Source organism: Homo sapiens, chromosome 5 (assembly GCF_000001405.40).
Source record: "Homo sapiens chromosome 5, GRCh38.p14 Primary Assembly".
NCBI classification, from domain to species: domain Eukaryota; kingdom Metazoa; phylum Chordata; class Mammalia; order Primates; family Hominidae; genus Homo; species Homo sapiens.
Genome location: NC_000005.10, coordinates 94,302,597 through 94,318,002, shown reverse-complemented (window position 1 = coordinate 94,318,002; position 15,406 = coordinate 94,302,597). Strand labels below are relative to the sequence as shown.

The 15,406-nt window shown below is 34.1% G+C and overlaps 1 protein-coding gene across 15 annotated transcripts in view; it reads left to right on the top strand.

Moving 5' to 3' along the window:
* Positions 1-15,406, top strand: part of KIAA0825 — a 467,754-nt gene that overhangs the window by 300,602 nt on the left and 151,746 nt on the right. For 7 of the 15 annotated variants that reach the window (XM_011543329.3, XM_011543324.3, XM_011543328.4 and 4 more), the window contains one exon: positions 8,225-13,315. The exons of 4 other annotated variants lie outside the window; for them this stretch is intronic. In XM_011543329.3, the coding sequence (XP_011541631.1) occupies positions 8,225-8,525 (301 nt within the window). In that variant the 3' untranslated portion in view covers positions 8,526-13,315. Of the gene's footprint in view, positions 1-8,224; positions 13,316-15,406 lie in introns of those variants that run through there. 4 more of the 15 variants (NR_169751.1, XR_948246.3, XM_011543330.3 and 1 more) reach the window with 4 other exon arrangements.

Sequence of the window (15,406 nt, the reverse complement as noted above, 5' to 3'; positions counted from 1 at the left end):
GTTTTTTTAAGTTAAATATTTTATAAAAAGCAAACCATTTTTATAAAAAAGTAATGTTTTTAAAAATTAATGTTTCATATTTTAACATGAGGCATTGTAAGATTAAATTAGTTATCCACACTTGATTCATATAAATTTGAAGATTTTTATGGAAAATGTAATTTATAAAATCAATAGGTTTGATTTTCATTTAAAAAATATAGACAATATAAGGTTTAAATGCAATCTACATATATTTTAAAGCACATTCGTATTTATCTCATTTTCACTGCACAATAACTGTAGGACGAGGGCTGATATTATGATCCCTGTTTCATAGATTAAGACGTTATGACTCAGGGAGGTCACTTAAGGTCTGGGTGCTAGTGAGAAATGTTTGACCCTGTCATTCTGATTCCAAATCTAAGTCTCTTGCCACTGCCCTGTGCTGCCTTATATTTTCTGAGGTAAATTGTCTTTAAGTTATAGCCCTGGAGTTGTGCAATGCAGCATAGGCTTCAGTAACAATGTGTGTTTAGCTTTCATTTTGGCTTGCTGGACACTTATGGAGCTGATTTAAGCCTTCAGCGCCAAAGTCAATGAGACTCTCTGTGTTTGGAGTAGATCTGTGCAGTGCTGAGCAAGAAAAGAAACTGGCATCTTCATGCTTTGTATTTTCAAAATATTTTAAACACTGAAAGGCAGGGCTTTCTTTTCCCAACTCAGCATGGTAATATGGTACTCTGGTGAGTCGTATGTAACATCACTTATGGATAGTTATTTCCATCAGGGAAATGGCTCAGACCTTGGAAGACCAGGAATATATTGAGGGTTGTGACTTCTAGGCACTTAGATGATTTTTACAGTGGTGGGAAGGAAACCACCTGGATTCACACTCCCTTCCCACTTGAGGGTTGTGACTATTGATAAGTGAGAAGTGAAACGTGAGTGTTCTTTCTCATATCTTACTATCTAGTTTAGGCATAGGAAAAAGAAACAAAGACACTCCTGCTTTCCTTTCCCTCTTTCTCATATCACTTGTCATCAGGAGTCATAAAGTGGAAGGTAAATGAAATCCTGTACTTTCAAAAATGGTTTTGATTAGAGGTCTGAAAGGATGTATAACCAATTGCTGGTGGTTCTTTTAATACAGGGTGGTTAGCTTTGGAGATAAAGGGACACTTTCAATATTTTTTGGTTTTTGTGCGTAAGTATGAATTACCTTTGTAATTAAAAAAACAATAAAATAAACTTTTAAAAATTGCATTTAATCACTCTGAAAGGATGCAAAAGCATACTGCCCCAACTCAGATGAACAACTAAAGCCTGACGGAGGAAGATACATCCTCCTGATTCAGAGTGGACTGTTTCTATTAATATATGACTCTCAGGACAGCCAGATGGGGTGAGGTTCCTGCCTGGACCTCCTAGGTATGTCCTCACCTTCCAGAGAGCTTTAGGAGGCCACAGCCATCAATGTGAACTCTGAAGTAGATTTGGATTTACTGTCTTCACTGTGGATTTTTGATGAAGTAGATTGGAAATATAGTTAAAGGGAGACATGTTCACTTACCAGTAGAAGCTAAGATGTTCTTTGCTAGTCCCCTGCAGTGTTTCATATAAGGTTTTTTTTTTTGGTATTATAGAAAATATTATACTTCAGTTTTTGAGGAAAAAAGTAATATTTCAGGTGGTTTAGTAGTATAATATAGAATAAAACTTTTAATACTCATATTTTATTTAGGCCATAGTAATAAAATTTTTATTTAAAGTAATAGTAAAAGTATAGAAATTCATAACTACTAATGTCTTAGGTTTAACTTTTTTTCTATCTTTTTGCTTTAAACACAAACTTTTTAAAAATATATAAATGTAAAAGCCATATATAACACGAGATGGCGTGTACTACAGACACTCATTACCATTTGGATTTAATTTAACCTCGTTGTTCATTATTTTGTATGCTGACATTCTAAAATTTGAGTAAGATCCATTTCCTTCAAACAAACCCAAAATACACATGGATTTGCTTGATTTTATTATTGTGACTGGCTTAACTCAAAATTAAAGGAAGTAGCACCCTTGCCAGTTAATATCAAAAAGTTAAGTTCTGCATTCTGACACATAACACCGTGAACAACAGATACAAAGAGCTGAACAATGCTAAAAACAAAGTTTAAGGAATAGAAAAATTTGGTTTGTTTCTAGTAGCCCTCTTTGTAATGCGATTACACATTATGGCAGATCCTTGAAGCTATCAAACTGTACAGTAATTTTCATTGTTCTCTAAGCCCCACATGGTATGACTGGGGGAAATAATAATTAATATAACTGGAATTGTATAGTCATGAATAAATTAAGTTTTAAAAATAACTACAATTTATGTCACATAATGAAGTACTTATTTTTATTTTTTCCTTGTATTTCGACTAACATACTAAGAATTTGAAAGCTATTGTAAGATGATAGTGGACTATAAAACTTAGGCTCACCATCCATCCCTTTTTCTCATGCTCAGTAATTAAAAATGGCTATGGGCATTTTTTATCCACTGAGATTTACCAACTGCTATAGCATTCAACATTTATAGAAGGATTTCTACACCCGCTTTTTAAAAAATGAAATAACCAAATATTACAGCAGCTTGAAGTGGTTTCTTAAAAAAAATAATAAGTTTACCTCTAGGCCTCTGATTTTCAGCAGATAGAAAGCGCTATCATTAGCCTACCATCCATTTTAATTTGAAATCCTAAGAACAAAAGTCATTAATAAGTCCTTTGTCATGGATTTTAAAAAAGAAGACGCCTTTTTAGTATTTGTATGTCATCATGCCAGGCCTAGAAAATTAGGCTAATTTATTATTTAAAACACTGGTGGGATTCCTAATTGCATTCATCATTAGATATGACACGTTTAGAACTGAGAACCATATCCAGTGAGAATTTTCCAGTTTGAATTTTGAAATAAAAATATTTTTCAAGAGATCCCTAGCTATTGCCTGTTACCATGGCAACAGTCCTATTTGTCTGAGAGCTCTGTCCGCTGCCAATGAGAGAGAGAGCAACGTCAACTAAACATACGAATACATCAAAGACAAATTCATATGCTCAATCTGATCAGCTCAATTAATGTAAGAACAGAAGCTGAAGGGGGTTAAAAGAGGGCACCCATTCAGGAGAGATGAAGCCCCTTTTAGCAGAATATACACGCCGGCCTTTTGGGGGAGGAATTTAGCACACTGTCAAAAACATTATCAGAAAAAGAAAGTAGTAGGCCTCCTACACCTAACAGATATGAAGCTGTCAGACAAAGAATAGCACTATTCATTAAATGACACTTATTTTCTCCCACTTTACAAGAATACAGCGAACAAAACAAGCAGGGGAGCAGCTGAGAAAGACACTTTTTTCTTTTGCTAGTGATGACAGACATGCAGCAATTATGGTGATAACTGAGGAATACTAAACAAGAAGCCAGCTTCCATTCTGTTTATCACCTTAAATTTTATGTTACTAAATTTGCATGCAACTCCTGTTTTGTTTTATTATTTATGTCTGGGAAAAATTAGATGCCTTTGTTTTTAACATGGTGCCTTGAGTTTGGTGCAGCATACCTCTAAACTCCATGCATTCTCTCACTTTTCTTGTTAAATGGCCACATCAAGTTGAAATGCTTTTGAAGTAAGACATTTCCAAAGCACAACAAAACTGCTGTTATCCATGTGAGGTGTATGTGGGGCTTGGTAGTCTGGGTTCATTAGTGTTAGGAGAGAGATATATTGCTTCTGCACATTTTTTGAAGGAATAGAGCAAAAAGTTATATTAATTGCCACCTTTGCTTTCATGCTTCATTGTACATGGTGAAATGTGTTACAGCATATGTGTATGTGTGTTTAATAGATCCTTCTTTTTTCTTCAGAGAAGTTGAAGGTGGTAGGTAGTAGAAACTGTCTTGCAGGGTTTATAACAGGTGCAGGCAAGTAGAAGTTCCCCTGAGATAGCTGCCTTTTAAGAATCTTATGTTTAAACCATGATGATCTGATTTAAGGCCCATTATCAATAGTCTGCTACTTATATCTGCATGATCGTGGACTGATTGATACTGACTTTGTAGCCATGTGCTCCATAATGCGCTGTCAGGAAATGCTGACAGATGCAATGAAAGAACAATAAATGTGGGGCAGCCGTAAGGTAAAGGTCCAGCTAGGCTGTATGAAAACTGATAGCTAGGATATTGGCTCCTATGTTACCATATACACCAGTACCTTTGAGAGTTTAGCTGGTGAGTGAATTAAAATGGTCTCCTGATACCCAGGAGGGGGGAAAATAATCTTCATTTAAGGAACTTGCCGACTTTGCCAAAACATTGCTTTATAAGAACAGAGCCAAGATACAAAAAAAAAAAAAGAAACCTCCCTTATTCAAAAATCTAGGCATGTCTGACACATCTGAGAAAGTATTTCGTAAAAATCAATACACAAAAAGAACACTGTATCCACTCTTGATGATACTTAATCCATTTGTATAAAATTACAAAAGGAGACATTTTATTAGAATTCCTGCTTTAAATGTATGGCATTTGACACTACTTAAAAAAAATTCTTGATCTTCAACTTTGTGCATGAAGATAGCTGGCATTTTGCCAGTACAGGTTTTTAACAAATAACTAGGATAAGTCAATTTATTCATATCGAGCCGTAAAAGTTACTCTCTTCTCCCTAGTCTTAAGATGTAGCTCTGAAAGCAGTTGGATTGGACTCTAACTCAATACATTATCACACCTTTTCTTGCTCACATATTGCTTTACAGATACCCTCTGTGTTCTTAAGTACCACTTAATAATTACCAGTATTTAAAGATATAATGAACATTCCAAGATTGATGTCTCAAAGTAGACTCCTAATACATTTTAACAAGCCATTTGTTCCAAAATTTATATTTATTATATAACTTCGAAAATAAACATAGAATCTGATACCAGACCTTAATTTTTCCTCCTTTGATTAGAAAATGTAGAATGTAATGTATACTTATGTATTTTCAATGTTGAGCCCCTGTGGTATCTACAAGCTGTGTTGATAATTTTGATTCGTGTCCTTCAGGAAAGAAAGTAAAGAATATTTTCTTTATTTACAGAGTTATCAAAAATGTTTTGGGGGACCCTTTGAATCTAATTTGATTTAGGAGGAGTTTGTGAGAATAATTTGACCCGGTGAATTTAATGTTTGCTCTAAACCTTTTTATGGTATTAATTTGCCACATTTAAAATAACATTGAAAAACAAATTTTTAGAATGAAAAGATATAGTTAAATTTGAAAGATGCTATCTTCTGAGGGTGCTCAAAGAATGTTCTAAGCAGATCATTGACAAAACATGCCGATGACTGTAATTGTGTGAATTCAAGAGAATGAGTTTTTTTACACCATATTATTGACATAATAGATTGAGTCATCATTGCTGTCTGATATGCAAAAGCGTGCTTAAGAAGTCTTCTGTGGATCATCTTTAGAACGCAAAATATTGACACAATAGACAACAATGGCTCCTTTGGAGCCATTAGGGTCCATCATTTCAGGGCCTGCTCAGGCATTTCTTAGCAGGTAGCGCACAGACTCTTGACATGAGAGATCATAACAAGTCCAAAGGAATAATACTCGTTTCTAAGATTATCTCATACTTGGGAATTTCATAAGCTATAATTTATTAAAATTAGAACATATTATCACCAATGTGAATTTTAAATTAATTCATTAATTATATGCTATTAGTAACAAACATTTTATGCACACACACACACACACACCATGTATATTATAAACTGGATAAACAAACTATATCACATGCAGTTATTTATACTTTTCCCTGTGTAAGAACTTGAGAAGTCCACACTGATTGTTATGAATATTCATAAAAAGCAATTCATTCTCAGCCTTATACCTTTTATGCCAAGAGTCAGCCTGGAGCGAATTTTTAACGTCCACAGCATAGACCTTTGAAAGTAGATGTGCCTAATGGAGAGAGTGACACTGACTCTGACAGGCAGGAGCTCTGGAGCTCTGGTGGGCACCCATATAATTAGATCTTTTGTGTGGTCTTGCTAGCTAAGGCAGAACTTGAGGTTTTACTAACAAAATCTTTTGAAAAGAAACTTCATTTCCCCCAAAGTTTAGGTTATTTACCACGTAAAGAAATAAAAACAAAATCTGCAAATAAAAACTCCCTGGTAGTTTTAGATGATTTGTATTATCTGCAGAGTGAAAGATGAAGTGAGTGATGTTGGATTGGCTCGTAAGGAGAGCATCATGCTTTTTCTTTTCGTGTGAATAGTTTTATTGTGTTGAGATTAGAGACAAATAGAAATTATATTATACAATGTGGCAAGCCATTAGCTTTTCATAAAAAGAAATTTTATCTACAGTGAAAAGCTTTTGATCTTAGAGACTTTCTAAAAAGCTTTTTAAGTTTGATTTTTTGGTGGTGTTAGTTTGTTATTTGGTGTAAGTGTCAGTATTTTTGTAAAGAAATTATGTCAGGTAGTTTTGCTATTTGCGTGGCAGTATGAGACATTTAAAGAATGTCCTTTTTGAATTTTCATTTTAAAAATATAAATTCAGCTTATTCTTCAAAGCTTTAATGAATGTAGGTTTGAACAAGACCATATATAAGAAATATAGTTTTCTAACTTTTATTAGTCACAGATTCGTCCCCCTGCTCTTTTATGTTTTAAGGTTCCAAGCAATACCATAAGCTTCAAAAAGAACAACAACAACAAAAAAAAAACCCAAAAAACAAAAATCCAAAAACAAAACAAAGCAATTGCTTTGAACTGACAAACCCATTTTAATCTAGAAAATTCCCTTTCTCCTTATCTTTAATACTCTTAGAGAATTGGAATAGGCCAATGAAGTTTCTGTTACTGAAAAAAAATGCAATGGCATAAACCTATTGCACACTGGAGGTCACCCTTGCTATTTACAATTTTTCTACAATTTTACAAAACAAAAGTAGACCCTGCATGATTTTAATGCACACTACAGTTTTCATGATACTTTTGGTATAAATACATGGATGTTATATGTCTTCTGTGTATAGTTAGTCGTATTAAGTGCAATTAAGGAACCCATTATGAAAATCTTATGGCTGTCTGATTTTTCTGATGAAATAAGCAAATGACAAGAAGCTTTTCAAAACAAACTTAGGAGCCTTCACTTTCATTATATATTATACATAATGGTTTTTGAAAATCCTTTCAAATTGTTATAACAGAATTCTAGAGTAGAGTTCATATGCACTGCTTATTCAATAATTTGTCAGATATATTTTTACTACATCATTCCTGCAGATAGCTTTACCCTAGTTGATACTTATGACTTGTTGTAGATAAAATTACTTCTGTAGTCCTTTTATGTTCACATTATTTATTGTGGTATGCTTAATAGTTGATTATGTTCTATTGTTTTCCCACCACATTACTTTTATGTCTTAATATTCATTCAAAACAAAATATGACATGATTTTACTAAGAACAAAAACTATTTTAAAAAATATAAGTAAGTCATATATGAACATAAAATTATTAAACTAATTAAGAACTCTGGTTTTGTAAATATCTCAATGACAAAACATGAAATAGAAGAAAAAAGCATTTAGTCTATATCTTGAAGCTATTCAAAATAGGAGCCAAAGATAGATCGAGGAGAAGTGCCTGATCCCGTTTCAGTAAGAACATTCTGAGAATGTGAGGGATTATCCTCTGGGAGCTGTAATGAGCAAAATGTGAAGTTTCAGGTGTACCTCATCACCAACTGGCAATGAGAATAACAAGAAATAGAGATAAAGCTACCTTTTATCTATTTTCCAAAGGATGGAATAGGAATACCATGAATTTTTCTTGATGCATGTTAACTTAGTATATGTGGCCAATTTTTTTCTCACAATTTTTATAGCACTTTTTAGTCTTTAATTAAAAAGATCCTTACAATTTCATAAACACTGAACATAATATGTCAATTATCTGGTGCAAAGGTTAGATGTCAGAAGTGAGTTAAAATATGGGAAGATGCTTTTAACAGATTTATATGAGATAACAAGATCAAGGGAACAGAGGGAAACCACCAGATTCCCCAGCTAAATAGAATCCTAAAGGCATCCACGGATATCTGTCCACAAACAGAGCACCTCAACCCCTCTCTGTTATTTATACTGTGTGAGGTTTCATGCACTCTCCTTGTCCCTCTCTGTTTAGGACTCATTGGAGGGAACCGATGAACCATACAGCAAGATCCAGATGGCTGATTTTTACAAAGAGGGGCAACTGCATAGCATCTTCTTTTCTCACTTTCCTTTCTGAGATGTTGCCACTGTCGTATCCTATGCCTGAAACCCCCCTTTTTAATGGAGTGATTGTTATTGAAGGCTCAATGCTGAGTGCCTCCGTAGAGGCTTTCCCAAACACTCTTGCACTCATGAATTTGTCTTTCCTGAACAGCATAGCACTGAGTGTGCTACTCATTTTGGATTTAACATGTGCATTTTTGGGGTTTTAACCAGAAACTGTGTGCTTGGCTTTTTCATCAGTGAGTTTGTATACCCAGTTGCAGCAAGTTCTGTCTCTTTTCTCCTGTAATCCTCACTGTCCTGAGCAGAACACTGGACACTGAACAGCTGGAAGTAATCTCTCCCTCCTCTGAACTCTCACAGCACCTCCTCTGTACCACTTCTTTGTGGCTTATCACTTCATACTTTATATTACAGTTATTTGAGAAAGTGTTTTATCTCCTCGGCTAAAATGAAAATTCTTTGGGGGCAAAACTATGTCTTATGCATCTTTATATCCTACACTATCATCACCACAACAAACATACTTAGCACCATGTTTTCCATTAAATGTTTCACCAACTTAACTCACATTTATTGAATAACTTGCTACAGAGCACTATGCTAGTTCACTAGTACAACACAAAGTATCATTGTTTATACATGAAGGAGCCTACAGGACAGTGATTGAGAGAGAATTGAATATGACTAAAGAAAAGCAAATAGAGCACACTGAATTGTGGCTGAGAATTAAAGTAGCCAGTTTCAAGCTTCCAATTGGAAATTTGGTAAGTGGTTGCTGTATGTTACCTTTAAATCCAATTTCAATGGAATGATCTATGGCAAAGAGTTCTCCCTCTGGAAGGAGGAAAACGGCCTGAATGGAAAGGACTTTTTATTCAATCCCATGCCACCAAAAGGGGCAATGACTGAAAGACCTCTTAAGATTGAGCACCTGATTAGATCTAAGGCCAAATGGAAGGAGACACTGCACAGTGCCAGTACTCATATATTTCTTTAATGAATGAATGAATGAATGCAGATACTCACTCTATTTATTGACTGAATGAATCATCAACAATCTCATTTTAAAACATGAGTAATCTTTGTATTCAGCAGGGAACTTTGAGCTTCATTTGTTGAAAATCTTATAGAGTCCCTTGAATTTATGTATACATTTCTCTGTATAAATACATGTACCATTGTGCTTTGAATATGATCATGATAAATTCCATTTCCTTCTGGGATTTTACTATTTTTCCTTTACTTTAAGCCCAGTAACTGAGTGGCTGCTTGATCTTTAAAACCAATACTGGATTGAGAGCTCCTTGAGAGATGAAACTGCATCTAATCATTCTCTCTCCTGTAAGTGCTTAAATTCTAATTTAAATTTGATTTAGATTAGAAAATAATTTCCAAGTGTGATGGATATAATGCATGGTGTTGGGTTTTGAGAGGTCATGGAGTGACTGCCCCCACAGTACCAGAGGTCAGAGTATTTTGCCCTTAGCAGAGACACTTGATAAATGTTTGTAGAATTTCATTTCATTTTCCCAGGACTAACACCTGAATATGTCTGTGTTGCAGTGATGCTGAAAGATTTAGTATTGAAAAACTCTTTAAAATCCTCAATCACTCTATTCCAAATGATTAAACTCTTGCTTATCTGCAGTGAAAAAGACTCATGTTCTTTGATCCTGTAGATCTTTTGGTCTACCAGTGGTAATTTTATTCTTAGTAGCTTATTAAAGATGTGACATTATAATACCAACCAATAAATATTTCCTCAGAGTCCTGAGAGTGTGTTTCCAAAAAGCACTATAGGAACTAAAAATGATAGGAGGAATGCTCCTTCCTTCAATATTACCATCTTTGGAAGAGAACAAATTTTAAGATAACGAAAATATAATATATGGTGGAATAAGTACCAAATGACAGAGGATTCTGTGGGGATCCAGAGGAAGACAATCTCTGTTTTCGAGGTGGAGTAGTTATCATCTTATCTGGGAAGAAGTAGAATTTGACCTGCAATTTGAAGGAAGAAACTTCATCTAGATGGGTGAAGATTTACAGGGATAGTTGTTAGTGTAGAGCAAAAGATGCGAGCAAGGAGCCAAAGATGAAAAAAAAGCATATCGCATTTTGGAGACCATGAACAAATCATTTGTTGAAATAGAAGAAATCAAGGCTAGAAAGATAGATTGGAACCAGGTCACAGTGGGCCTTATATTCCACAGAAAGGACTATTCCCTTGATGTCTTGGGCTTTGAGCACAGTGACAGGGTGAACAACTTTTCTGAAATTTGAATTATAAAACCATAACAATTGAAGAAACATCAGAGGGTGACAGGGGCATAGGTACTATTATAGGCAGCCAAAACTAAAGTGAGGGGAAAAGTAGATAGTTGCAGCCTGTCAGGCACAAGGGAAGAAGCAATGTAGTTAGAAAAATACGGTACTTTAAATGAAGTTTTCTTTTTATAATTCTCTTTCCTTTCAAAATCCACAACCTCCCGCACCTATCTTTTATTTTATGAAAAAGGAAGAGTTGATCTAAAGACTATCAGTGGTAAATAAGGGAATGTAGAGCATCTAGAAGTTTGTAAAAAATCCACCTGAGAAGATATGGGTAACAAGATATCATATTACATTATTTATCAGAATCTTGAGGGAATGAGTAGCAAGTGTTGGTGTTTGTCAGAATTGCCTGTAGAGGTGGGTATAGATACATGAACCTAAGCCCTACGCATCATGTACCTATTCCAGAATGCCTGGTAATGACGTTCGGGTATCTCTATTTGTAATCAGCTCTATAGATGATTTGAATGATTTGAAAATGATGACTATCATGTGTTCTTTCTATTTTTCTCTCTTCACTTGTTATTAAGGCAATTAATCACATGGACAATTACGGAAAGAAATGAGGGCTGCAACATCCACACTTGAGGATTGATATCAGTATTGCTCGGTATTGTTATCAATCAGTATTGTTAATGATATCTTTGATAATTTCCCTCTAATATCTCTATATTTTCCTCAAAATAATCCCTTAAATATTATTGGGGTGAAAATAGTTTATCTAAGTAACTTTACCAAGTTTAACTGAGGGCTTAGTACAGTGATAGAATTCAATTGTCATCCTACCTATCTGGTCAGGATTCCTAGCATCCTATAAAGTAAAGTATTTCATATTCATCAAAAGTTCTAATGTGACATTTCTCCCGTGTGAAAAAAGTATGAATGGAACTTACACAACTTTTTAATATGGTGCTGGATTTTTCTCAGGGAGTTCATTATACTAAATCATTTTGTCAATTTTTAAATGATGAGGGCATATCTTTTCCAATGTATCATCTTCCAATGTACCAAGTTTAGGATTTTATACTTATAATGTTGTACTTACTGGTCTGGACAGCTCTATAAAGTAATGTAATGCAAAATATTATTGATTTTGGGAATTAGTGATATAATTAATTTTCTAGAAAATAAACTCTGAAATTAGATTTCACATTCCCCCTTTTTTTTCTCTAAATATGAGTCGACATATGTAAAAACCAGTCAGGTGGCCATAGCTATTTTATATGTAGTTATTTTATATATATCGCTATTTTGTTTTATTCATTATTTTGTTTTCACCAAACTTTAGGAATTTTTAAAGCATTAAGATCTTGGGCCATTGGAGAGGTGGGGGATGGTTCATGGAGAGATAATAATGTACATATTCTTTCAATAGGTAGGAGGTAGCTAAACAAGTTTTAAGTGTACTATAATTTTCATTGTGACAAGTTCGCTATCACTTATTAACATTAAAAGTAATTGCGAGTTAGATGCTAGCTCTGTTTCTGGCACCATCTGAGTCTCCTGATATCTTCAGATCCTTCTATTTGGAACTTGCATAATCACCTTTTACATTCACAAATAAGTTACTGAGTCTCTGATGATAGTCATGAAAACAAATTTTAATTGAGTTTGGCATGTCAAAACCCTTTCTTGGGTTTTATGTTTGATGTACCATGCCACATTTTCAGTGAATAAAAACTGCCTCCTTGCATATTTATTATATATTCTCAGTTAGTGAGATTTTGTTACACAAGCAGTCACCTTATTATTTTTTATACGTGCACTTTGATATCACAGTGTTTCATTGTCAATTGACGTAATGTATCAGAAGTGGCACAGCTAATGAGCACACAGTTGCCTTTAGCTCATTTTACATCGTGAAACCCTACTGGGGAATAGGCTGTAAAACTTGGTGGAGGGGTTCTGACATTTTATAAATGTCATATGTCAATCCTACATTGTGATGGCTGTGAAACACTGTGTGCTGATGGTACCATAGTCATATGATAGACCATTTTCACTAGCAGGCACTAAAGAACAGGGTGTGTGTGTGTGCATATGTGTGTGAAAGAGATTTCTGTTTGCAAGTAAACTTTAAGCTTTTTGGCCTGTGTATAGGAATTAAGAAAGATTGGTCATTATTTTATTAATATAAATTAGTAGAGACAAAATCTTGGTGACAAAATACAAAATGTGTTATGAAAACTTAAATTCCACTTTTCTATTCTTAAACACAAAGAATATTTTGATCTTAGAACAATAATTAAGGTATTTTCTGTTTCCATTAATCTAAATTGCAATTTGTATTGGAGGAGTAAAAAGTCAGGGCATCTTATTTAAACTTAGCCTTTTTTAAAGGTATGTTTTAAAAACTTGTTTATGGTATAAGGTGTTAACAGGTAATTTGGTCAGTTATTTCTTAGTGCATGAGGGTTTGGATTTTTTGAATAAAGGAAATTGCATTATCAATTGCAGAATAACAAATGTAGTTTCATTTGTATTGCTTCTAGGAGTTTATGAACCATATTTTGTCTTGTGGTAACTAGAATTATGAACTTGGAATGTCATAGCAAATGATGGCTGGGGTATTTTCAGTTCTGAAATGTTTTTATTTGTAAACTGGTTAATTTAGTATTCAAATATACTTATTTTTTAAAATAAAAAATTTATTTCCTCTGAGGCCAATTGTATGTGTCTGTGTTTACTGTTGTCAGAGGTCCTTTAATGGCTCACTTTGGCCTCTGTTGTGACCAACCAGAAAGCAAAGAGAGGACAAAAATGGAAAAAAAAAGATATAGGCTGTGAAACTGTGGTGAAAGGGGAAATAATAACAACACAGTTAAATGAGATTCGGCGAGTCTTCTGATCTGTGAACATTTTTATTAGAAACATTTGTCAACCAGATCGGCATCTTCCAGTGTTACCTCTTCTCTAGTTGATACGGGTCACCCCCCCTCACCTGCCGTATTATTCCCTCTCTTGCCAGGCTAAAAGCAGTAGCAGCACTGCCCTGCAATTATGTAATGTCTTATCATTGTCAGGACACCTTCACTTACAACAATCCCTGCCATACACTTATGCCACAGGGAGGCAGGCATTATTTTTTCTATTTCAGAGAAACGACTTGTCTTCGTTTCATGTGACTAGTAAGAAGCAGAGCCAGCAATGTCTCATGACTTTTATCATTTCTAGCCCAGTATTCCTTCCACCACACAAAGTATTTGCCCCATAAATATATTCAGGTTTCTTCCCATGCTAGAGATTTTTATGCAAACTTAATAATTAATAACTTAAAGCAAAAGTGGGGTTTATTGAAAGTTTTCTGGGCCAAACAGATGTGCATCTTCTGAGTCCTGTCTTCTGGGCATGATCTAATATTGAATGCAGTATTTAATGATTATCATTCAAAAAATGAGGCGAGAAATCAATTGCTTTGTAAAATCATGATAGTATTAAGCTACAGCCTTTTTAATGAATCTCTCTGTGGCCAGGCCTCACCATGGTGACTTGAGTGTGTGGCACACCTTGGGAACTCCTGTTCGATTTTATCAGGGACAGGATGAATAGTGGTGCAGGGGAGCCTCACCATGGAGAGATTGCCACAGCTTTTCCCCTGTTCTCCTAGGATCCACTTAATGCGTTTACTAATTATGTTAGAATTGTGAAATTTAGTGGAAAGGACTGTGGGAATGAGTTGTTTTTGTTGTGATGACTCCTTTAACTTGCCAACTTGAATTTGAACCTTCTACTTTACAGGACCCCAATTCTTCTTTATACAGAAACAAATATATATTTCTAAGTTTTAAAACTTCCCACTCCACAATTTAAAATAGCTTTTGTGAAATTTTTACTGAGAAGGCCACTTAGTGGGAAACTCCAGCATCATATTTACTAATAAACACTGATATTAGAGCTAGCAATTTGTTTATTTTTTAAAAGGGTGGTGGTTTGTTTCTTTTTCATTGCCATTGAAATTATCCCTAATATATGGACCAGTTGTCTTGACTGAATATAGTAATATATGTTTTAATACTTTTTCAAATTTTTAAGTAAAATTTGGTTTTAGGATTCCTACTTTTATATTTTAAATTTGGGATTAAATATTAGTTTTGAGATATTGTTGAAAAAGTTTTAAGACATATTATAACTTGAAAAGATTTAGAAAATTTCCATGTTAAGCTGAAAATTATATTTCTATTAAAACTAGGTAGCATTGTAAAAATTGTGTGTGGTAAAAAAGTTAGGCCTCAGTTGTTTTTCTTCTTTTTTGTTATCTAGTTGTCTCCATAGCAAATATGTGTATATGCAATTGTGTGTTGGTTGGACTTATGAGTAATGTAAACAATGTGTCTAGTGTTGAAGTGCTTCTTATGAACATCTTCTTTTTAAAAGTAAGAATAATATTAGTTTTACTTTTAAGTGTATGTGTTACCTGACATAGCTTGTTACTGCTCTATCATCTGAAAATAATTGTAACTTATAACTTTCATTTCCTTTAAATGAAGAAGGCAACAATTTGAAAGTATCATTTTCTCATGAAAGCTAAAAATAAGAACTTTGTTTTTTGGCAGTATTGTTATAAATAATCTGCCTAAACTATTAACTGTAAATACATTGTTAGAGATGTGCCAAGAGGAGACAACCCATTACATTTTCTTTGTTTAAAACTATCTAGTTCTGTTGTTGAGTAAGACAATTTATTCATACAATCATATAAAAATCATATTTAATAAAGAACAATCCAAGGCAAAGAGAAAAAAATGTCTTTATC